The sequence below is a fragment of the Homo sapiens genome, chromosome 12, assembly GCF_000001405.40.
Source record: "Homo sapiens chromosome 12, GRCh38.p14 Primary Assembly".
Classification (NCBI taxonomy): domain Eukaryota; kingdom Metazoa; phylum Chordata; class Mammalia; order Primates; family Hominidae; genus Homo; species Homo sapiens.
The window spans coordinates 8,864,189-8,890,026 of NC_000012.12; the positions used below are offsets into that span (position 1 = coordinate 8,864,189).

General features: G+C 41.8%; 1 protein-coding gene across 9 annotated transcripts in view; it reads left to right on the plus strand.

Moving 5' to 3' along the window:
- The window catches only part of A2ML1 (alpha-2-macroglobulin like 1), a 64,839-nt gene extending 41,568 nt beyond the window's left edge, over positions 1-23,271 (plus strand). For 4 of the 9 annotated variants that reach the window (XM_011520566.3, NM_144670.6, XM_047428387.1 and 1 more), the window contains 7 exons: positions 3,654-3,869; positions 4,042-4,169; positions 4,349-4,439; positions 4,947-5,015; positions 10,237-10,339; positions 10,783-10,824; positions 11,870-12,599. In XM_011520566.3, coding sequence (XP_011518868.1) covers positions 3,654-3,869; positions 4,042-4,169; positions 4,349-4,439; positions 4,947-5,015; positions 10,237-10,339; positions 10,783-10,823 — 648 coding nt within the window. In that variant the 3' untranslated portion in view covers position 10,824; positions 11,870-12,599. Of the gene's footprint in view, positions 1-3,653; positions 3,870-4,041; positions 4,170-4,348; positions 4,440-4,946; positions 5,016-10,236; positions 10,340-10,782; positions 10,825-11,272; positions 11,722-11,869; positions 12,600-16,335; positions 16,429-22,318 lie in introns of those variants that run through there. The other 5 variants (XM_011520567.3, XM_017018869.2, XM_017018870.2 and 2 more) reach the window with 2 other exon arrangements.

Genomic DNA, 25,838 nt, shown 5'->3' on the forward strand with positions numbered 1-25,838 from the left:
TATTTAATTTTCTTTTTTTTTTTGTTGAATGTGAAACATTGGGGCCGGGCATGGTGGCTCATGCCTGTCATCGCAGCACTTTGAGAGGCCGAGGCAGGCGGATCACCTGAGGTCAGGAGTTCGAGACCAGTCTGGCCAACATGATGAAACCCCATCTCTACTAAAAATACAAAAATTAGCCAGGTGCGATGGCAGGTGCCTGTAATCCCAGCTACTTAGGAGGCTGAGACAGGAGAATCGCTTGAACCCAGGAGGCAGAGGTTGCAGTGAGCTGAGATCATGCCATTGCACTCCAGTCTGGGTGACAAGAGTGAAACTCTGTCTCCAAAAAAAAAAAAAAAAAAAAAGCAACATCATGAGGTCCATGTTTTACATGCAAGTAGGATATATATAATTATGGCTAAATGTACATATTAATAAACTAGGAAGACCATTATGGGGTCTGTAAAGATAACACCAAGATTCATGGGCACATATCCTTCTATCCTTCTTCTGCTATTGCAGGTATTAGAAAGCTAATAAGATATAGTCTGAACTCTAAAAAGTTTACAGTCTAGAAGAAAAGCGAGGACAAAGTCTATGTATTACAAAGAGGATCTGGTTTATAATATAAGAAACATGCAAAAGGTACAACATATCGAATTTCAAAATGGGAGAGAAAGCTCATATCAGCTTGAGGGATAAGAAAAGTCTTAGCCGGGCACAGTGACTCACGCCTATAATCCCAGCACTTTGGCAGCCTGAGGCGGTTGGATCACTGGAGGTCAGGAGTTCAAGATCAGCCTGGTCAACATGGTGAAACCCCATCTCTACTAAAATACAAAAATTAGCTGGATGTGGCCCCATCTCTACTAAAGATACAAAAATTAGCTGGATGTGGTGACATGTTCCTGTAGTCCCAGCTACTCGGGAGGCTGAGGCAGAAGAATTGCTTGAACCCGGAAGGCAGAGGTTGCAGTGAGCTGAGATCGTGCCACTGCACTCCAGCCTGAGTGACAAAGCAGCACTCTGTGTCAACAACAACAATAAACAAAAACAAACAAAAACAACAACAAACAAAAATTTTTTAGGCTGGACACAGCAGCTCATGCCTGTAATCCCAGTGCTTTGGGAGGCCGAGGCAGGCGGATCACCTGAGGTCGGGAGTTCGAGACCAGCCTGACCAACATGGAGAAACCCCATCTCTACTAAAAATACAAAATTAGCCAGGCGTGGTGGCGGGTGCCTGTAATCCCAGCTACCTGGGAGGCTGAGGCAGGAGAATCGCTTGAACCCGGGAGGCAGAGGTTGCGGTGAGCCGAGATGGCGCCATTGCACTCCAGCCTGGGCAACAAGAGTTAAAACTCCGTCTCAACAACAACAACACAACAACAACAACAACAATTTTAACTTTGTTTCAGAAAGATTAATCAGCCACTTGGTGTGTGAGATAATTTAGAGAGGAGAAACATTGGACTTGAAGAGATCAGGAGACTGTTTCCTTTATCTAGGTTAGGGGTAAGGGGAAATTGGGAAATTGAATGAGTGGTGTGGCAGTATGGAAAAAACAGAGGGGTAGAATTGTATGATAAACTCAAATCATAAAAAATTATTTTAGATTATAATGAAGAGAGTAGTCATTAATCTATGTATTCTGAAAATATTAAATATCTACCATGTCCAAATCACTTTGATGAGGCTACAGAAATAACTAAGAAAATATATTTCTTGTTCTCATGAAGATTATATTCTGATTTGTTGAAATTAGCCAATTTCACTGAAGATATAACATGTAAATCAGACCTGAAAGAATGAACATCTTTTAATAGGTTGCATGTTTGGTAAAAATGTTAAAAGCACCAAGTTTAGGCCAGGTGTGGTGGCTCACGCCTGTAATCCCAGCACTTTGGGAGGCCGAGGCAGGTGGATCACGAGGTCAGGAGATCGAGACCACGGTGAAACCCCATCTCTACTAAAAATACAAAAAATTAGCCGGGCACAGTGGTGGGCGCCTGTAGTCCCAGCTACTCGGGAGGCTGAGGCAGGAGAATGGCGTGAACCCAGGAGGCAGAGCTTGCAGTGAGCCAAGATCGCGCCACTGCACTCCAGCCTGGGAGACAGAGCAAGACTCCATCTCAAAAAAAAAAAAAAAAAAAAAAAAAAAGCACCAAGTTTAAATATGGTAATGACTTAATTGAAACTTAAAAAAATTATATGGTACTATGCCTCCCTGTTTCAGGGAAATTCTTGGCCAAAGATCACAAAATACTCCTTCTTGCTCGGTCCTGAATAATTATAATATATAATAATATTTTTGGAAAGCAGTGGGTGAAATGTTTACAACTCTCAGTGACAGGTATATGTCAGAATCCTTTTTCAATGAAATCCTTGGCTATCACAAGAAGTCATATATCATATATTACCCACACTGGTTTTTCAGCTGACAGTGAGGTCCCTTTCTTTGAATTGTCTCCATATGTTCAAGCAGTAAAAAACCTCCCTGGCTCCAGTCCACAAAAGGTAAACAAAAATTGTTTGTAGATGGTGAAGCTGCACAGATAGAACTTCTTCACAGCTTCACCAGGGTGGGTGACCTGTCTTCCTGTTTTGTAGGACAGTGATAATGTCGAAATAAGAATGTATTTTTCATTTGTGAGATGAAGAAATCGGGTTTTTTTTTGTAATAGATATTTTTTGTAATAGATATTTTACACGAGTGAGATATAACAATTTTGTTGAACACTTCATTCATTTTTCTTTCCCCTTGTAATTTATATGAATTATGTTTTCAGAATGAAACAGTTCAAATATCACTGTACCATGCTCACTTAGTGACAGTTTATCTGTCTTATTCCCAGAGAAATAAAAGATTGTCACATGGTATAATGGCTAAGAAGCCAGCCTGCAGGGAAGGACTTTCCTAGGGTCCCTTATACTCCTTCCAACTGTCATGTAGAAGATCATTACACAGTTAAATGACTTCATAGACTGCAATTTCTAGGGCTATCAAGTTACTACTGTTTCTCCCCCAAATAAGGAAGCTGTAAAATATATACTGAACAATTATCCACTTGCTTCTAGCAATAACTCATTCTGAAACTGTTGGTTTCTGAACATGAATTGATTAGGTTAACCAAGTAATCTGTGGATGTTCAGTAGTACCTTGTTGATGGTGATTTTCTATAAAAGCATGCTACTGGCTGGGTATGGTGGCTCATGCCTGTCATCCCAGCATTTTGGGAGGCCAAGGCAGCCGGACCACCTGAGGTTGGGAGTTCAAGACTAGCCTGACCAACATGGAGAAACCCCTTCTCTACTAAAAATACAAAATTAGCCGGATGTGGTGGCACACGCCTGTAATCCCAGCTACTTGGGAGGCTTAGGGAGGAGAATCACTTGAACCCAGGAAGCGGAGGTTGCAATGAGCTGAGATCGTGCCATTGCACTCCAGCCTGGGCAACAAAAGCAAAACTCCATCTGAAAAAAAAAAAAAGCAAGCTACTGTGATTTCTAGGCCAGCTTCTCCAGAGGAGGTGGGTATAGTTCTCTAAATACTTAAAGAAGTCATCATCCAAGCCAACTAACAACAACCAGATGTGTGGGTTATAGAGTTGTTCAAGGTTAATTCCAATGGCTCACAAAATGGTAAGTATACGTTTGGTTGTTTCCCTCAGGATACTGTAGTTGCTCTCCAAGCTCTTGCCAAATATGCCACTACCGCCTACATGCCATCTGAGGAGATCAACCTGGTTGTAAAATCCACTGAGAATTTCCAGCGCACATTCAACATACAGTCAGTTAACAGATTGGTATTTCAGCAGGATACCCTGCCCAATGTCCCTGGAATGTACACGTTGGAGGCCTCAGGCCAGGGCTGTGTCTATGTGCAGGTAAGTAGAGATCCATGAGAATGAGCGGACATTGGGAAGGAGAGTCGGAGAGCATCTTCCCCTTAGGCCTTCTCTCTCTCTTTCTTTCTCACTTGTAAGAAAAGTAGTTTGAACTGTACAATCTTTAAAGTTCTTTCCAAGTCTGATTTGGCTACCTATTTCTTCCTACCAGACGGTGTTGAGATACAATATTCTCCCTCCCACAAATATGAAGACCTTTAGTCTTAGTGTGGAAATAGGAAAAGCTAGATGTGAGCAACCGACTTCACCTCGATCCTTGACTCTCACTATTCACACCAGGTGATTAAAGCTGGGGTGCTGGTGGCCGGCAGAGCACCTGGTCATAGGAGCTGAGCTGGGACACTTGTGTGTGTGTGTGTCTGTGTATGTGTGTGTGTACGTGTGTGTGTGTGTGTGTTGGGGATGCAGAGTGCACTGAAGTAATAGGCTCACATGTGTTTTCTTCTTCCTGCTCTCAGTTATGTGGGGAGCCGTAGCTCTTCCAATATGGCTATTGTGGAAGTGAAGATGCTATCTGGGTTCAGTCCCATGGAGGGCACCAATCAGTTAGTAAGTTACTTCTGTTTTCTTCATTTATCTAGCTGTGAGGGGACCTAACGTTATAATTTAAAAAACTGGTAAAATGGGCATCATGGCGTGTATACACACACACACACAAGGCATGTATATACATACATATATATGTATGTATATGTATGTACACTTGTAAGAAAAGTAGTTTTCATATATATATATGGCATCCATATACACAGTATGTGATTATATATATGTGTGTGTATACATATGTAGGTATATATACATGTATATATGTGCATGTATGTACATATATGTGTGCATATATGTATATATTCATACACACAAACTCATGATTGGATTATTTAAATGGGCTGCAAGGTTGTAGCAGATATATGACATGCAACTTGTAATAGTCTTGGTTCCCTTTTCCTACCTTTTCCACAGTATATATTGTTTCCTTGATCATGGCAGAGCTTTGGAAGACTACCCCAGGGAAGGCTCTGGCTCTTAGTATCTTTTTTTTCTCCCTCTCTTATTCAGCTTCTCCAGCAACCCCTGGTGAAGAAGGTTGAATTTGGAACTGACACACTTAACATTTACTTGGATGAGGTAGGTATTCAGGAACCAGATCAAAGAGCTGGATTGCTTACGGATCTTCATGACTTCCCTTCTAATCTGTATATACGGGTGTCACACACATGGGGATGAGGGGCCTGGGAGTGAGTCCACACCATGCCATGAGTTCTGCCTCCATGCTGGTATACCGTAAAACACCCCATTGTGCCTCTAGAGGAGCCCTGTCCAACAGACCTATAATGTGAGCCGTTTACGACATTTGAAGATTTCTGGTAGACACATTTAAAAAGTATAGAAACAGATGAAATTAAGTTTAACGGTATATTTTATGCAAGCTTATACACCCCAAATATTTCCATTTTACCATACAATTAATATACAGACGTATTAATGAGATATCTACATTCTTTTTTTTTTTCTGTACCACATCTTTGAAATCCAGTATGTACTTTACACTGTCAGTGCATCTCAATTCTGACTGACCTCATTTCAAGTGCTCAATAGCCACAAGTGACATTGCAACTCTAGAGTATGTTATAGTGGTTAATAGCAGAAGCTCTGAAGCCAGACTGCCTGGGCTGTGATCTTGGTTCTAGCATTGACTGAGTAACTGGACAAGCTGTTGAAAGTTAGCTGTAAAATGTGTGTGGGTAGGGGTCAAAATAGTTCTTTTAGAGTTATAGAAAAAACTAAATTATTTAAGACATGTAAAAATATTTAGAACTGTACCTGGTATAGAGTAAGCCCTCATCACTTTATAGCTATTCCTATCATTTTAACATAATGTTAATATTACTTAATATTAATCAGACATTGTATGTAACCTTTCATTTTAACAAAACAAGAAGTTCTCAAGGACTAACAATGTTCTAAAGATTGTTACAATGTTCCTTTTCATGATATTCCATTCCACACAAGGAACAAAGTTATCCTTATTGAATATAACCAAAAGACAAGAATATCCCAAATCAAAACATACTGTTGTTAGTAACATCCATTTCCAACCCCCTGCCCACCCACCAACCCCATCATCTAACTGTGTTTCCTGTCTTCCAGGGAGCCAGGGTTTTTTATGTTGTGTGAGCCGTGTATAGTTTCTTTTTTCTTTTTTTTTTGAGACGCAGTCTCGCTCTGTCACCCAGGCTGGAGTGCAGTGGCACAATCTCAGCTCACTGTAAGCTCTGCCTCCCGGGTTCATGCCATTCTCCTGCCTCAGCCTCCCGAGTAGCTGGGACCACATGCGCCCGCCACCATGCCCGGCTAATTTTTTGTATTTTTACTAGAGACAGGGTTTCACCGTGTTAGCCAGGATGGTCTCGATCTCCTGACCTCGTGATCCACCCACCTCGGCCTCCCAAAGTGTTAGGATTACAGGCGTAAGCCACCGCACCCAGCCGAGTTGTGTATAGTTTCTTTTGAGACAGCTCGGGTTAGCTTATCTGGCACTACCCTGTAATCATGATGTTGCTGTTTAAAACTTTGCCAAGTTTATGATGCTTTCATACATGACTTATTCAAGTCTTACAGCCACCCTCCTTAGACATAAGGAGACAGAGTTGGAGAGAGAGAGTGGGTTGTCCAAGTCATACCATCTGTCAGTGTCTAGGGTGGGAGCAGAACCTGGGGAGTCTGATTTCCATGACACCATGCCTGAGACTGCAATGAACTGCTCCTCAGTGTGTCCTGCCAAATCTGCCAGTTGGCTTCTAATTTGAGTTAACAGGCCTAATGATCTAAAAGCCAGTGCTAATCATTGTATCTGTGGTTATTTCCTCTTTTCTGTGTGTCTTCTCCCTTGTGTTCTTGATCAATTTCACCAGAGGATGACCTTATTCACATATATAGTCTTCCTTATTTTTTGATGAACTTACACTATAAGCGTCCCTCTAGGTACATGCCATCCCTCTCCCACAATCTCAGACAAGCAATGTTTTTACTGTCATTCAGTTCTAACTATTTCTTAATTTGTTGGGAAACACATGGAATTTTTAAAGCCATCCTTTTGTTCCTGATGTCTAATTTTGTTGCATTATGGTCTGAGAATACAGTCTTCATGATCCTGATTGCCTGGAATGTGCTGAAGTTTCTTCCATGACCTAATCCATGATCTGTTTTTGCAGGTGTTCAGTGTGCACTCCAAAAGAACATCTATTTCTTTTCTCTTGGGCTTGGATTCTGATCTAGAAGTCTGAGATCATTATTTCTGTTGTTCATGTGTTTGATAACTCTGCTTATTTTTCTGCTTGATTTAACAATTTCTGAAAAGCATGTGTTAAAATATCCAATTATGATGGTTTTTGTTTGTTTGTTTAGTATTTTTTTGGTAGAGACAGCGTTTCACCATGTTGGCCAGGCTGGTCTTGAACTTCTGACCTCAAGTGATCTGCCTGCCTAGGCCTCCCAAAGTGCTGGAGTTATAGGTGTGAGCCACCACGCCTGGCCTCTAATTATGATATTTGATTTATCCATTTATCCATACATTTCTGCCAATTGTTTCCTGATATATTTGAGACTACATAATTAGATATATATGTTATGAACATATCTTCTTATTAAATTTTCCTTATATTAGTACATACTATCCTTTCCCCATTACTATATATGTGTATATATTTATATCATTTACTTTTGCCTTAGATTCTTACACTCCCCCACCGCCACACACACACACACAATTTTTTTCCCTTGCCTTGGGTGCCATTTAGTCAGATATTAAAACTGCTACCTGGCCGGGCGCAGTGGCTCATGCCTGTAATCCCAGCACTTTGGGAGGCTGAGACGGGCAGATCATGAGGTCAGGAGATCAAGACCATCCTGGCTAACACAGTGAAACCCCGTCTGTACTAAAGGTACAAAAAGTTAGCTGGGCGTGGTGGCAGGAGCCTGTAGTCCCAGCTACTCAGGTGGCTGAGGCACAAGAATGGCGTGAACCTGGGAGGCAGAGCTTGCAGTGAGCCGAGATTGCGCCACTGCACTCCAGCCTGGGCAACGGTGCAAGACTCCATCTCAGAAAAAAGAAAAAAAAAAAAAAACTGCTACCCCAGCTTTCTTTTGGTTCATATTAGTCATTTGCTTTAATTCATTATGGTGACCAAATGATAGAAAAGAACAGTGGTTCTAAAAATTCTTTGTTTCAGTGTCCCTTTATACTCTTAATTTACTGAGGACCTCAAACAGCTTTCGGTGAAGTGGGTTTTAACTATTGGTCTTTATCATATTAGAAATTAAAACTGAGACAATCTTAAAATATTTATTAATTAATTTAAAAATGATAATAAACTCACTACATCTTAATATAAATAAAATTTTTGTGAAAATAACTATTTTCTGGCCAGGCGTGGTGGCTCATGCCTGTAATCCCAGCACTTTGGGAGGCCGAGGCGGGTGGATCACGAGATCAGGAGTTCGAGATCAACCTGGCCAATATGGTGAAACCCCATCCATCTCTACTGAAAACACAAAAATTAGCTGGGCATGGTTGTGCGTGCCGGTAGTCCCAGCTACTTGAGAGGCTGAGGCAGAAGAATCGCCTGAACCTGGCAGGCAGAGGTTGCGGTGAGCCGAGATCATGCCACTATACTCTAGCCTGGGCAACAGAGTGAGACTCCATCTCAAAAAAAAAAAAAAAGAAAAAGAAAAAGAAAATAACTATTTTCCAAAACAAAAAAATAAGAATGGTGACATTGTTTTGCATTTTTGCTTTAATATCTGGCTTAATCAAAGAGAATGAAATTTTCCTATTTACTCCTACATTCAAACCGTTGCAATATTACACATAAAGTAGCCTCTGATAACTCTCCTGTATACTTGTTTTGTTTTTTATTTTTTTAAATCACTTTCCCCAGAAGGAAACAATCTCCTGTATATTTGTAAGAGAATGAGAGTGGAAAAAAAAAGTCTTAATATCATTCTAAAAATAATTCTGACCTCTCAGATATTCTGATGCAATCTCGGGGATCCCTGGAGTAGGGGAGGTCCCTCGACCACACTTTGAGAAGCACTATACCTGAAGAACTTTGGAAATCCCTTCCAATTAGGCGTTAATAGCGCTATATCTAAATTTATAATACGATTTTTTTTTTTTTTTGAGACAGGGTCTCACTCTGTTGCCCAGGCTGGACTTCAGTGGCCCGATCTTGGCTCACTATAATCTCCACCTCCTGGGTTCAAATGATCCTTCCACCTCAGCTTCCCAAGTAGCTAGGATTTATTTTTTTATATTAAAGTAACTTATACAATTGCCTTAGATTCTCCATTTGCTAATTTATTCAACAAATATTTACTGAACAACCAACATATGCCAGTCACTTTTCTAAGTGATGGAGACGTAGCAATGAAAACAATAGATATGATACCTGGCCTAAGAGTGCTGATATTCTAGTGGAGAGACAACAATATTCAGGTTTTTAAAAATTACATGTATATGTGTATACACACACATTTTTTTTCAGTAGTAATAAGTGCTATGCAGCATAAGGGGATAAAGAGTGCTGGTGGGGCAGGCCAGGGATGTGACTCTTTTTAAATAAGGTGTTCAAGGAAAGCCTCTTTGAGGAGGTATCATTTGCTCAGGGACCAGATTGAAGAAAGCAAACCAGTAAGGGGCATAGAACTGTTGGAGTAAAATGCAAGCCTCTGTTTCTCTGGCCACTTTGACTAATTTAGTGGAGAAGCCATGGGTCAGGGTGGACCATGAACAAAGGGAACCAGTTCACAAGAGGGCCAGAGAGCTGTAAGATCCTAAGAAGAAAGAGCCAGGAAGTCAGCAGGAGGCAATGTCTTTAAGACTCATAGGGCAGTAGCGGTACATAGAGGGTTTCAGAGAATCTTTTTTTAATTAAAAAAAAAATTTTTTTTTAATTTGAGATGGAGTCTCGCTCTGTCGCCCAGGCTGGAGTGCAGTGGCGCCATCTCGGCTCACTGCAACATCTGCCTCCCAGGTTCAAGCGATTCTTCTGCCTCAGCCTCCTGAGTAGCTGGGATTACAGGTGCCAGCCACCATGCCCGACTAATTTTTGTATTTTTAGTAGAGATGGGGTTTCACCATGTTGGCCAGGCTGGTCTGGAACTCCTGACCTCTGGTGATTCACCCACTTCGGCCTCCCAAAGTGCTGGGATTAGAGGCATGAGCCACCGTGCCTGGCGGGGCTTCAGAAAATCTACATGAAGACAGCAAGGGTCTTTTATTCCACATTGCATACAGTGTAATTTTCATTTTACTTCTAAGGTACTGTTTCATCTGTCTTCCCCACAGCTCATTAAGAACACTCAGACTTACACCTTCACCATCAGCCAAAGTGTGCTGGTCACCAACTTGAAACCAGCAACCATCAAGGTCTATGACTACTACCTACCAGGTGAGAGGGCTGAGCTGAAATGAGATCTGAGATCTTACCTGCATCTCCCAACTTACTTCTGCCTCATTCTTCATGGCTTCTCTCTTAATTTTACAAATACTCCTTCCCAAGCCAAGTAGCACATAATTAAATTATCTAATCTCCTAAAATATTTTAATTCAGTTGTGTGCCATTTTTAAGTTGCGTACACTAGAGACATTTTATGTGATCGGAGAACAATGTGAACCATTGTTCTCAAAGGGCTATTTCTATTATTTTTGGTATGATTAATAGTTTGTCACAATGTACAAATATTAGTGATTGAAACTTTCTTGTAATTCTGAATATGCTCATAACCTGTAGAGATTCTCTGGAAGGGGCTCAAGCAGTAGCTTTTCTGAAGCATTTTCCCTCTGAATATAGGAGGCCCTCAAAGTAATAATATGACTTATTTCATTTCACAGATGAACAGGCAACAATTCAGTATTCTGATCCCTGTGAATGAGGTAAGTCCAGCGGAGAAATGGGTGGAGTTATGGGTTAGGGTGGCAGAAGTTAAGAGGAGCCTCTTTTCGAGTTACTGTCATTGTCTTTTTTTGAGATAGAGTCTCGCGGTGTTGCCCAGGCTGGAGGGCAGTGGCGGAGGTTGAGTGGCTCACTTCCCAGCTTCAAGCGATTCTCCTGCCTCAGCCTCCTGAGTTGCTGGGATTATAGGCGCCCACCATGATGCCTGGCTAATTTTTGTATTTTTAGTAGAGACAGAGTTTCACCATGTTGACCAGGCTGGTCTCGAACTCCTGACTTCAGGTGATCTGCCCACCTCGGCCTCCCAAAGTGCTGAGATTACAAGCATGAGCCACCACACTCAGCCCTGTTATTGTCTTTTGGAAGCTATTGTTGATAGAAAGTGAGCTTTCCTTTTTTGTCTTAAACTTTTTTTTTTTTTTTAAACAGGATCTGGCTCTGTTGCCCAGGCTGCAGTGCAGTGGCGTGATCTCAGCTCACTGCAGCCTCTGCCTCCCAAGTTCAAGCGATTCTTGTGCCTCAGCCTCCTGAGTAGCTGGGATGACAGGCACGTGCCATCACGCCCAGCTAATTTTTTTTGTATTTTTAATAGAGATGGGGTTTCGCCATGTTGGTCAGGCTGGTCTCAAACTCCTGGCCTCAGGTGATCCGCCTACTTCAGCCTCCCAAAGTGCTGGGATTACAGGTGTAAGCCACTGTGCCCGGCCTGTCCTAAACTCTTGAAAATAGTTTACAGAAGAAAAAGCTAATGCTTGGTATTAAAACAATACTTTTTTCTATCAGATTGAAAATGGATTGATTTTTCCTGATATTTTTACATGATACATCTTTGTTATATGAAAATACTAAGACAAAAGTAAAGGTTACCTGATTCTACACCTGTGAGATAACACTATTAATAATCCAACTGTGCATTTGTGAGATTTTTTTGTATATATATAGAGAGGTCAAGTATCCTCTATGTATGTAATGAGCTTCTGAGTATCACAGTGTCTTCTATTTTTTGTTTGATTGTTCGCTTTTCAGGATAGGAGCTGGAAACTCAATTAGTCCTCTGTGACATTTACTGGAGGGTGGAACATTCTTCTGTCGCTTGAAGCAGAACTCATTCAATCAAATAATTTAATTTCTCTGACTAGTATATGGGTAACAAATGAATATGTCTGAACCTCAGCTATAATACTTTCTACTACCTTTGCAAGGAGATGGGATAGGAACAATCACTCAGAGGAGGCGTTGCATGGGCAGGGTCATAGGGGGAAGAAAGGTGGTTTAGCTGTTTTATTTAGCCATTCAGGGGGCTCTCCAGAGAGGAGACGGTGGTAGAGGGTGAACTAGAGAAGATAAGAATGTCTTCCTAGGCCGGATGCGGTGGCTCACGCCTGTAATCCCAGCACTTTGGGATTGCGAGGTGGGCGGATCACTTGAGGTCAGGAGTTCAAGACCAGCCTGGCCAACATGGTAAAACCCGTCTCTACTAACAATACAAAGATTAGCCTGGTGTGGTGGCACGGGCCTGTAATCGCAGCCCCTTGGAAGGCCAAGGCAGGAGAATCGCCTCAACACTGGAGGTGGAGGTTGCAGTGAGCTGAGATTGTGCCACTGCACTCCAGCCTGGGCAATGAGGCAAGACCCTGTCTCAAAAAATAATAAATAATAATAATAATAATGTTTTTCTAGAGTTTCAGTCTAAGGGAAAATGTGATTTAGGGCTTTGGAAATTGGCTAAAAAAATAAAAATGGAAAAGAAAATCTGTGCATTTAGTTCTATGCATATTTCTTTGGAAACCAAAAGTTCTTTTAAAGGTGATGATCATCCTTTCCCCCAAAACTCACAGTTTGGTTTCTTCCTTAAACCTTTTAACCCAGACTTCTCAAAGAATCATCTTAAAGATGTGAGGACAGGTTAGAATAGAGAATTTTAATTATGGGGCTCTGCTCAACCAGCCCGCTACTGCAGGGCAAACAGTGATGGATTACAAGAAAAGTGGCTGGCCAGAATGCCGTTTCCATCTCTCTCGGTTTCTCTTCTGCATGATTCTCCCAACCTCTCCCCACATGGGCTATCTATCACCTATCACCGTGCAAGCACTTCCTCAGAGGAATGCTTTTGTTTTGGAAACAGGTTTGGAGGCAAAGGGATAAGGGAAGTAAGATGAATGATATTTAACAGAAAAGATTCTCTAGGCAATTACACCCTTTTATCCTGGGTATCCACTGGATCCATTATGCTCCCCTTGATTGCAAATTCTGACTGAAAAGTCAGGGAAAATAAGTACATTCTACAAAAATAAAAAATGACAGATGGGACCTACTTAAACTAAAGAGCTTCTGCACAGCAAAAGAAACTATCAACAGAGTAAACAGACAGCCTAAAGAATAGGAGAAAATATTAACAAACTGCCTCCAGCAAAGAACTAATATCCAGAATCTATAAGGAACTTAAACAAATCAACAAGAAAAAAACAAATAATCCCATTAAAACGTGGGCAAGGGGCATGAGCAGACACTTCTCAAAAGAAGAGTACAAGTGGCCAATAAACATATGAAAAAATGCTAACCATCACTAATCATCAGAGAAATGCAAAATCAAAACCACAATGAGATACCATCCACACTAGTTAGAATGGCTATTATTAAAGTCAGAAAATAAGAGATGTTGGCGAGGTAGCAGAGAAAAGGGAATGCTAACACACTGTTGGTGGGAAGGTAAATTAGTTCAGCCACTGTGGAAAGCAGTTTGGAGTTTTCTCAAAGAATTAAAAATAGAATTAACATTCAACCCAGCAATCTCACTACTGGGTATATACACAAAGGAAATACATCTTTCTACCAAAAGGACACATGCACCTGTATGTTTTTCGCAGCACTATTCACAATAGCAAAGACATGGAATCAGCCTAGATGTTCATCAATGGTAGAGTGGATAAAGAAAATGTGGTCCATGTATACCATGGAATGCTATGTAGCCATAAAAAAGAATGCAATCGGCCCAGTGCGGTGGCTCATACCTGTAAACCCAGCACTTTGGGAGGCCGAGGTGGGTGGATCACCTGAGGTCAGGACTTCAAGACCAACCTGGCCAACATGGCAAAACCCATCTCTACTAAAAATACAAAAACCTAGCAGGGTGTGGTGGCAGGTGCCTATAATCCCAGCTACTGGGGAGGCTGAGGCAGGAGAATTGCTTGAACCTGGGAGGTGGAGGTTGCAATGAGCCGAGATCATGCCATCGCACTTCAGCCTGGGCGACAAGAGCAAAACTCCGTATCTAAATAAATAAATAAATAAATAGAATGTAATCATGTCCTTTGCAGCAGCATGGATGCAGCTGGAGGCCATTATCCTAAGTGAATTAATGCAGAAACAGAAAACCAAATACTGCATGTTCTAACTTTTAAGTGGGAGCTAAACCTGTTGTACACATAGACACAAAGATAGAAACAATAAACACTGGAGATTCCAAAAGGGAGAAGGGAGGAAAGAGGGCAAGAGTTGAAACCTACATTCAGGTACTATGTTCACTATTTGGGTAACGGGATCACTAACTCAAACCACAGCATCACGCAATATACCCATGTAACAAAACCTGCATATTTACCCCCTGAATCTAAACCTGCATATGTATCTCCTGAATTTAAAATTGAAAAGGCCAGGCATGGTGGCTCACTCCTGTAATCCCAGCACTTTGGTAGTCCAAGGTGGGTGGATCGCTTGAGCTCTGAGTTCGAGATCAACCTAGGCAACATGGCAAAACTCCATCTCTACCAAAAATACAAAAATTAGCCAGGCATGGTGGCGTGTTCCTGTAGTCCCAGCTACTCCGGAGGCTGAGGTGGGAGAATCGCTTGAACCCAGGAGGAGGAGGTTGCAGTGAGCCTAGTTTGCACCACTGCACTCCAACCTGGGTGATAGGGTGAGACCTTGTCTCAAAAAAATAGAATAAAATAAAATAAATAAAAGCGTATACTGAAGAGAATATTCCCCCAAGCCCAGGGTCACAGTTGCATTAATTGTTCTGTACCTTTCTCCTCCATCCTTGTGTCTGTCCTGGTCCTTCTAGGAGTTCCTATAGTGAGGGCAGATGGGGGAAGATATGCAAAGGAGGTCATTCCCAAGCTTGCCTCTTGGGTATCAAAGGAAGAGAGCAGAGGGAACTCTAAAGAAAAGAAGGTAGTTGTCAGGTGCAGCAGCTCACACCTGTAATCCCAGCAGTTTTGGAGGCTTAGGCGGGCGGATCACTAGAGATCGGGCATTCAAGATCAGCCTGGCTAACATGGTGAAACCCTGTCCCTACTAAATATACAAAATTAGCTGGGCGTGGTGGCATGCGCCTGTAATCCCAGCTACTCGGGAGGCTGAGGCAGGAGAATTGCTTGAACCCGGGAGGCGGAGGTTGCAGTGAGCTGGGATTGCACCACTGCACTCCAGCCTGGGGGACAGAGTGAGACTTGGTGTCCAAAAAAAAAAAGAAGGTAGTCATGATCATGAAAGCCCCTTCCACTCACTAAAAGCTCCATCCCATGTACATTTTGGGTCTGCAGCACTTACCAGAGCATCCCCTCTTTTGGAACGAAAGGAAATGGTGATCCTCAAGACTTAAGAGGTTATGCGGGCAGAATACATCTTAAATGATTAGGAAAACTCTTTATTCTTGTATCTTTGGGATTTCAGATAGGATAAAAAGAATATTCTTATGCTTAAATTATCAACTACGCTGAATAAAAGGATGTTAATGAGAACATGTACATTGTCCAACTCATTGAAATATAAATATTTGTGCATATTTGAGAAGGTGATTGTGAGGATTAGGTGGCATTTAGCATTCAAGTGACACTTGGTATTACAGTACTTACAGTAAATACTGATACATACATTTATTATATGTCAGGTATTACACCAGGCCTGGGAATACAAAGATAAATAAAATGAAGTTTCTCTTCTCAAAAAGCTCACAGACTAGTGGAGGGAGGAAGGAAACAAACAAATTAACAGTTATAATACAGTGTGACCAAAAAAATGATAGAAGAAAGCACAAAAAGCTACGGAAGGCCAGGTGTGGTGGCTCATGCCTGTAATCCCAGCACCTTGGGAGGCCGAGGCAGGCAGATCACCTGAGATCAGGAGTTCGAGACCAGCCTGGCCAATATGGTGAAACCTCGTCTGTAGTAAAAATACAAAAAAATCAGCCGAGTGTGGTGGCAGGTGCCTATAATCCCAGCTAATTGGGAGGCTGAGGCATGAGAATTGCTTGCATCTGAGAGGTGGAGGTTGCAGTGAGCGGAGATTGTAGCACTGCACTCCAGGAGCCTGGGCAACAGAGCAAGACTGTCTAAAAAAAAGAGGTGGGGAGAAAGCACGGTATTTCACCCAAGTAATTCAGTGTACTCATGGATTATGTGTGTGTATGTGTGGGGCGGGGTGGGGGCGTGGGTAGTGTCTCCTCAAAGTTAGACTGGGAAACAGAGATTGGATAATGACTTGCTTTTCAGAAAGATCATTCTAGCAGTAATGTGAAGAATGGGGTGGAGAAGAAGAAAGCCGAAGTCCTTGAAACCATTTAGGAGACTGCTACAGTTATCCAGGTAAAAGCTGGTGAACGGGGAGTGGGAGGGGGAGGAGGGGACACTCAGCAGCTACTCAGCTTAGCTGATAGAATCAGGAAGACTTACTGACATCAAAGACAAAACGTACCAGACAATTACACAGGTGGTTTTATTCGGGCCATTGCAATCAAGAACACATGTTCATTAATTAATAACATCTCAGAGAAAAGGAAGGGGACCTGAGGTTTCATAGAGGCAGCAAACAAAAGAGTCATACATGGATCTTATGGGAGCCATAATGAAGGATGGAGATGAGGCTTTTTATGGAATATGTGTGAGCAGAGTGATTCTTTGCAGTTAGCTTTTTTGTTGGAACACAAAAGGTTGGAGGGTTTTGGAAAACAACACGATGGGTAAATTTCTTAACTGACCTGTTTTACAGAAGCACAGGGTTCAGGTGGTTCACCAGTGTCAGAGACTAAGTGAATGCAAGAAAGGAGAGTAAGGGAAGAGGCTGGGAAGACTGCCAGAATTCTAGACTGTGGATTACATACAGGAGAAAAACCTTTTCCTCTACCTGTTAGGTTTAGTATACGGGGCCTGCAAATGAAACCGAGAAAAGACAGATGAAAGGGAAAGGCTTATTTCACAAGCATGTGACAACTTCACAGGGAAGAAGTGAAAATAAGAGAAGCAATGAGGAATGGGGGCTTATATGCCATTTTAACAAAGGACAAGTTGTGGAAACATTAACAAGACCAAGGAAGTGAGATCTGGGCATTTGGGGCAGTAAGTTATGGGAAGGTAAATATATCGGAGGCACTAATGGAAGATAATGACCATTTTAGTAAGATTTGTTTACGCAGATTCAAGTTGGTGCTGACTTTCTGTCTCTTGTCATATAAGTTATTCTCCTTCTCCTGATATGGGAGAGGGGGAGAGAGACACTTTCCTTCATAAGGGGAAATTTATATCCTGCTTTTAAGTGTTTCTTAATTGCCTTCCAGCACAAAATCCTACTTATGCCAAAGTGGCACAATTTGGACTGGCATATTTTGATCCCTTTTAACTGGGTGGATGGTGCCATCCATGCAGGTACAGATATAGAAAGAGAGAAAATAGTGTGTTCAGTTTACTACATTAAGTTTGAGTGGCTGGGTGTGGTGGCTCACACCTGTAATCACAGCACTTTGGGAGGCCGAGGCGGGTGGATCACGAGGTCAGGAGATCGAGACCATCCTGGCTAACACGGTGAAACCCCGTCTGTACTAAAAATACAAAAAATTAGCTGGGTGTGGTGGTGGGTGCCTGTAGTCCCAGCTACTCGGGAGGCTGAGGCAGGAGAATGGCGTGAACCTGGGAGGTGGAGCTTGCAGTGAGCCGAGATTGCGCCACTGCACTCCAGCCTGGGCGACAGAGCGAGACTCTGTCTCAAAAAAAAAAAAGAAAAAAGTTTGAGAATGTGTAAGTCCTGATGGTGAAGATGTTGAGATAGTGGGATATAAAGGGTCATGTCAACCATTAAAGAAAGAAATCTGAAGATAAAGACTGGCAGTTAGCAGCAAATAAGTAGTGAGAAGCCAAGAGTGTTGAGGACTAGCTAGGGAACAGGAAATGAGAAGAGGAGAGACTGAAAGGGAGTGCCAACATTTCAACAGCAAAGGAAGAGAAGGGACTTCAGAACCCAGGATCTCACCAATATTTCTTCCCATAACAATGGCCTCTTGAAGGCTTTCCCTTCTCCTACCTCCCCCTTGAATCCCCGCCTTCATCAAGGATTTGGTAGGAAGTGGAAAGGAACCAGTATCAGAAAAGAATCCTACTTTTTTTTCTTTCTAAGAATCCTACCTTAATAAGCAAAATATGTCACATTTGGAGCACAGAGAACTTTCTATCCTTCTTCCTGTAGCCCTGTTGAAATATTTATCATATCTCATCCAGACTGTTGCAAAAACCCAGTTGCTGCCCCTTCTATGTCAGAACATTCCTCCACCCCTATGTCTATTATTTTATTTTACATATTCTCTATACACAAGGCTGCCTCTATTCAACTAACCCTTAGAATTGTGTCAGGTGATGTACTGCCAGCTATTTAAAATCTGGGCCAGGTGCAGTGGCTCCCACCTGTAGTCCCAGCACTTTGGGAAGTTGAGGAAGGAGGATCACTTGAGCCCAGAAGTTCAAGACCAGCCTGGACAACATAGCAAGACCCAATCTCATTCTTTTTAAAAAATAAAATCCTAATCTGATTATGACATTCATTTGCTTAAAACCCTTCAGGGGCTGTTAGGGGTAAAGTTCTATTCCTGTTCATGGCATAGCAGACTTTCATGACTATTTTCTTCCTGCCCCCTCCCCGCCAGCTCCATCTTCGGCCTTTGACCCTCACACTTCAGGAACACGGAACATTTGGTTCCCAATTTCCACTAAAATCTCCGATAACTTTCAAAGATGCTTTCTATCATGCTTGAAAAGCTTTTCTCTCTTCTGCTTGGAGGACTTCCACTGGTCCTTCAAGGAATGGCCTCCAAGGTGTGTTTCCTACTCTGGCAAGGCTTCCTTAAGAGCTCTTTGCTCCTACAGCACCTGTGATTCCAGCGGAGGATTTACCAAGCTGGGTTCCTGTTTTCTGTTGACCCTCCCATCTCCCCCATCAGAGTGTAAGATCTCTGGAAAGCTGGACCCTGTGCTGGGTGCTTCCAACTCCCCACCACCACACCCCATTATCTATTCTCTTTATCACTGACAAAAAGTACAATTTTATTTGGAGCAGCCACGTGCCCAACTAAAATCGTCACCTTCTCAGAATCGCTTGCAGTTAGGTTTGGCCATGTGGCAGAATTCCAGCCTACAAAAAGTAACCGGAAGTCCCTGGAAAGTATTTCCTTCTTCTTCTTCTCTCTCTCTCTTTTTTTTTGAGATGGAGTTTCACTCTTGTTGCCCAGGCTGGAGTGCAATGGCACGATCTTGGCTCACTGCAACCTCCACCTCCCAGGTTCAAGAGATTCTCCTGCCTCAGCCTCCCAAGTAGCTGGGATTACAGGTGCCCACCACCACGCCTGGCTAATTTTTGTATTTTTACTAGAGACGGTGTTTCACCATGTTGGTCAGGCTGGTCTCAAACTCCTGACCTCAGGTGATCTGCCCACCTCGGCCTCCCAAAGTGCTGGGATTATAGGTTGAGCCACCATACCTGGCCTGTTTTTTATTTTTATTTTTAATTTTTGAGACAGAGTCTCATTCTGTCACCCAGGCTGGAGTGCAGTGGCACGATCTTGGCTCACTGCAACCTCTGCCTCCCAGGTTCAAGCGATTCTCCCGCCTCAGCCTCCCCAGTAGCTGAGACTACAGGCGCCCGCCAACACGCCTGGCTAATTTTTGTATGTTTAGTAGAGGCAGGGTTTCGCCATGTTAATCAGGCTGGTCTTGAACTCCTGGCCTCAAGTTATCTGCCTGCCTTGGCCTCCCAAAGTGCTGGGATTACAGGCGTGACCCACCACACCTGGCCCTGTTTTTTGAATTCTAGCCATCTTAGTGTGTGTGAAGTGGTATCTCATTGTGGTTGGATATCCTCTGATGAAAAAGGATCTGTTCAAGGCTTTTGTTTATGATTCTGGATTGACTTTCTTTTGAAATTCTTTTTTTTATTTTTTGTTTTTTTTTGTTTTGTTTTTTTTTAACTATTTTCCTTTTTTTTAACTTTTATTTGAGGTTTGGGGCTACCTGTGCAGGTTTGTTACATAGGTAAACACGTGTCGCGGGGGTTGGTTGTACAGATTATTTCATCACCTAGGTATTAAGCCCAGTACCCAATAGTTATCTTTTCTGCTCCTCTCCCTCCTCCTACTATCCTCCGTCGAGTAGACTCCAGTGTCTGTTTTTCCCTTCTTTGTGTTCATAAGTTCTTACCATTTAGCTCCCACTTATAAATGAGAATGTGTGGGAATTGGTTTTCTTTTTCTTTTTTTTCTTTTTTTAAGACGAAGTCTCACTCTGTTGCCCAAGCTGGAGTGTAGTAGCGCGATCTTGGCTCACTGCAACCTCCACTTCTTGGGTTCAAGTGATTCTCCTGTCTCAGGCTGCCAAGTAGCTGGGACAACAGGCATGTGCCACCGTGCCCATGCACCACCATGCCTGGCTAATTTTTGTATTTTTAGTAGAGACGAGGTTTCACTATGTTGGCCAGGCTGGTGGGATTTGGTTTTCTGTTTCTGCATTAGTTTGCTGAGTATAATGGCCTCCAGCTTCATCCATGTTCCCATGAAAAACATGGTCTCATTCCTTTTTATGGCTGCATAGTATTCCGTGGTTTATATGTACCACATTTTCTTTATCCAATCTCTCATTGATGGACATTTAGGTTGATTCCATATCTTTGCTATTGTGAATAGTGCTGCAATGAACATTTGCATGCATGTGTCTTTATGGTAGAATGATTTATATTCCTCTGGGTATATATCCAGTAATGGGATTGCTGGCTTGTGAAATTCTTTATATGTCTAGATCAGAGGACTTTGTGAGATTTTCAGACTTGCAAAAAGTTCAGAATAAACTTCAGTACCGCAAATATCTTCTTCAGTCTATGGGTTGCCTTCTCACTCTTTCAATAATGTCTTTTGGTGAACAAAAGTTCTTAATTTTAATATAGTTCAAGTGAGTGATTTTATTATTCTATTTAAGAATCTTGCCTGGGTGTGGTGGCTCACATCTGTATTCCTAGCACTTTGGGAGGTTGAGGTGGGAGGATTACTTGAGGCCAGGAGTTTGAAGGCAGCTGTCTCTACAAAATCAAAATCAAAATAAAGAGAAAGAAATCTTTACTTCAGGGTCAAAAAATGCTTTCCTTATGTTTTCAAATAAAAGCTTTTTATTTTATTTTATTTTTTTTAGAAAACAGGGTCTCACTCTCTCACTCTGTCACCCAGGTTGGAGTACAGTGGTGCAATCTCAGCTCATTGCAACTTCTGCTTCCCGGGCTCAAGCAATCCTCCCACCTCAGCCTCCTGAATAGCTGGGACCACAGGAGGCACATGCCACCACACCCCGCTAATTTTTTGTATTGTTTTGATAGAGTTGGGGTTTCAGCATGTTGCCCAGACTGGTCTCGAACTCCTGAGCTCAAGCAATCTGCCTGCCTCGGCCTCCCAAAGGGTTGACATTACAGGCGTGAGCCACTGCACCCAGCTAAAAGCTGTTTTTGTTTTAATTTTATCTGAAATTGCTTTTTGCGCATGGTATGAGCTAGGTCAAGAGACTTTGTTTTCCTACATGGATATTTAATATGGCTCAGATCATCTATTGAAAGACCATCCTTTTCCCACTACATTACAGCATGTTGCTTTTATCATAAATAAGGTAGCCATACATGGGAGAGTTTATTCCTGGATTCTGTTTTGTCTCATTGTTTACTTCGCCTATCCTTCAACAATATCTCACACACACACACACACACACACACACACACACACTATAGTTTTATTATAGTTCTTGATTTTGGGTAGTATAATCCTCTAGATTTTGTGATTCTTCTTCAAGATAGCCCTAGCTATTCTTGGCATTTTGAATTTCCATATAAATTTAAATCAGTTTGTTAATTTCCTCAAAAAACCTGCTGGGAATTTGGGAGGATTGCTTTGGAGCTATAGAGTTGAAGATGACTGACATCTTTATAATATTAAGTTTCTAATTTATGAACATGCTCTATCCCTTAAGTATTAAGTCCATCCTCAATTTCTCTCAGCAGTGTTTTGTAGTTTTCAGTGTAGTGGGTGTTGCACATCTTATATTAAATTAATTCCTAGGCAGTTGGTTCTTTTGATGTTATGTAAACAATTTCAGTAATAACATCTAATTTCCTATTTATTTTGTATTTGGACCTTGAATCCAGCAACCTTGCTAAATTTGCTTATTGTCTTGGTTTTTTCCTTAGGTTCTTTTAAATTATCTCAGTACACAATTGTGTGGTCCATGAACAATGACAGCATAGTGGACTCTGTGGCACGGCACCCAGAACCACCCCCTTTCAAGACAGAAGCATTTATTCCTTCACTTCCTGGGAGTGTTAACAACTGATAGCTACCAGTTGTGCCCGCTCTGGACTTTTGCCCATAGTGGCCTATCCTCTGTGATTATGCATTTGTAACTGTGTTCTTCCTCTTCTGAAGACATCAGTCACATTGGATTAGCCACCCTTATGGCTGCATTTCACCTTGATTACCACTTTAAAGGCCCTGTCTCCAAATACAGTCACATTGGGGGTTATGGCTCCAACATACTCATTTGGAAGCCAGGTGTGGTGGCTCATGCCTGTAATCCCAGCACTTTCGGAGGCCAAGGCAGGAGGATTGCTTGAGCCCAGGAGCTAGAGATCAGCCTGGGCAACACAGGGAGACTCATCTCTACAAAAAAATATAAATAAATAAACAAAAAAATTTAACTGGGTGTGGTGGTGCATACCTGTAGTCTCAGAAACTTGGGGGCTGAAGTGGGAGGATCACTTAAGCCCAGGAGGTCGAGCCAAGATCACGCCACTGCAGCACTCAAGCCTGGGCAACAGAGCAAGACCCTGTCTCAAACAAAACAAAACGAAACAAAAAAAACAAAAAAACCCATATAAATTTTGGGGAACACATTTCAGTTCATAATAAAGTGGAAAAATTAAAAGAAATTAAATTTACAGTTTAAAGTTATGCTAGAATAGACATGAAGTAGCCCCCCTGAAATAAGAGTTAAGAAAGAATATTAACTGCTCCTCTGTAAGGTCTGTGAAGCATTAACCATATCTCTCCCCCACATATTTTGTAAGTTCTGTAAGCTCCTGTTTTTCTTGCTGTGCAGCTGCAAAGTCACAAGATAGATAAGCATGAGTCGCAAGACATGTTTTCCCAAGATGTAAGCTGAGTCCTAAGAATGTCACCTGATAATTAACTGCTTTGTTCTCGCTTTTGTAAACCAGCTTCCTGCATCATATAATTCCCACCTCAAAGTGCATAAAAGACATTCATTTTCTTTGTTTGCTGCTCAGACTTTCAAGATGCATGTCCGCTGAGCTAGTGTACACTTAAAATATTCCCTCCTGAACTCCGCTTAGTCTCTCCAGTCTCTGATTTCCCACTACAATAACACATCCCTGAAGAGATTTTGGTTTGACCAATCAAAAATAATAATTGTGTTTTCTGTGACGCAAACATAAGGAAACCTATAGACTCAAACATTTTTTATTGCCTACCTCCTAAAATAATTTTTTAAAATAATTTTTAAAAAGCATACATTCTTTTGCATATTTTTGGTCAACATTTAATTTTTTTTTTTTTAAGACAGTGTCTCTGTCACCCACGCTGGAGTGCAATGGTGCAATCATGGCTCAGTGTAGCCTCAACATCCCAGGCTCAAGCTATCCTCCTGCCTCAGACTCCCGAGTACTTGAAACTACAGGTGTTTGCCACCACACCAGGCTAATTTTTGCATTTTTTGTAGAGACAAGGTTTCACCATGTTGCCCAGGCTGGTCTCAAACTCCTGGGCTCAAGCAATCATCCCATGTCAGCCTCCCAAAGTGCTGGAATTACTGGTGTGAGCCACCATGCCTAGCCTTCATCCACTTTTATCAGAGAATTTTATTTAATATGTTTTTATGCTTAAAAGTTTTATTGATCATCTTATCAGAGTTTCTGCCATAAAAATATGTCTATAACTTCAGATATCAAAACATTTTTATTTTATAAGGCTCAAATATATTCAAGGCTTCTTGTGGATTGAGTTAACATCACAATTAGACATATTGGATCAAAACAGCACACATTTTTAAAATAAGAAGTTAAAAAATATCACTTCTTTTGTTTTGAGACGGAGTCTTGCTCTGTTGCCCAGGTTGGAGTGCAGTGGTGTAATCTCGGCTCACTGCAATCTCCGCCTCCGGGGTTCAAGCAATTATCCTGCCTCAGCCTCTCTAGTAGTTGGGATTACAGGTGCGTGCCACCACACCCAGTTAATTTTTGTATTTTTAGCAGAGAGGGGGTTTCACTACATTGGCCAGGCTGGTCTCAAACTCCTGACCTCAAGTGATCCTCCCGCCTTGCCTTCCAAAATGCTGGGATTACAGGCATGAGCCACTGCACCTGGCCAAAAAATATTACACATAATAAAAAGTAAAAACTAGAAGCACATTTTCTAATGACATGAATGTGGTTGGGATTTTTTTCAATTATCCAATAATATATTAGTGCATACATTCACAGATGATTATTGCTTATTTCTTTTTTTCTTTTTTTGACATGGAGTCTCACTCTGTCCCCCAGGCTGGAGTGCAGTGGCACAATCTCAGCTCACTGCCACCTCCACCTCCTGGGTTCAAGTGATTCTCCTGCCTCTGCCTCCTGAGTAGCTGGGACTACAGGCGCCTGCCACCACGCCTGGCTAATTTTTGTATTTTTAATAGAGATGGGGTTTCACCATGTTGGCCAGGCTGGTCTCGAACTCCTGACCTCAAGTGATCTGCCCACCAAAGTGCCGGGATTACAGGTGTGGGCCACCATGCCTGGCCCATAATTTGCTTATTTCTAGAATGAGACAAGAATCAAGATTAATTGTATTCCAATTTTTAATTTCTTCAGGTATATTATTTGAGAAATCTCACTCATATAAATAAGAGTAGAAGGCATTTAGCTTTAGCAATGCCAGTGAATTTTGTGAACTCTTTCAAGTTATATACCAAAACCTTATAATAATCTTTCATCAAAAACTGATTTATCAGCACTCAACTTGATTAGATGCTCCTTTAATTTGGTTGAAAGAATTATAAATCTTGACTTCCAAAAAGATTTTTCATGAAAGTACTTTATCTACACAAAGTGACAATATTTCAAATTATCTTTGGTGGTCAAGAGGGGGTATGTGTGTGTGTGTGTGTATGTGTGTGCCCTAGAACAGCATACCATGGAAGGAATGAGAGTTGCAGTAACCTTTTGTAAAGTGAGCAGGGAGAGGGGAAAGAAGATGCTTTGACACGTAGAGAACATTCTTGGTGAAGTGTCAAGATGGAGACTGCATCTGGAAGTCAAAATCTGGAAATTTCAGCCCTGTCCATGTTGGAAAGGCTTTGTACACCCCAGAGATACATGTACTCCAGTTTGAAAATTGCTGATGTAGTGTGTATCTAGTGTCAATCAGCCTGTGTTCAAATAACAGCTCTACATCTTGCTAGCTGAATGACTTTGGGCAATTTATTTAGCCTAACTATACCTCAGTTTCCTCCTTGGTAAAATGGGAGTGATAATACCTCAAAGAGTGGTAGTGAAGATAAAATTATCTACGTAAAGTACTTAAAACTGATAGGGAGGAAGGGAGGGATTGCAAATTAGCACAAGAAAGCTTTGGGGGTGATATGTTCCATTATCTTGATTATGGTGATAGTTTCATGGTTGAATACATGTTAATATTCATCAGATTGTA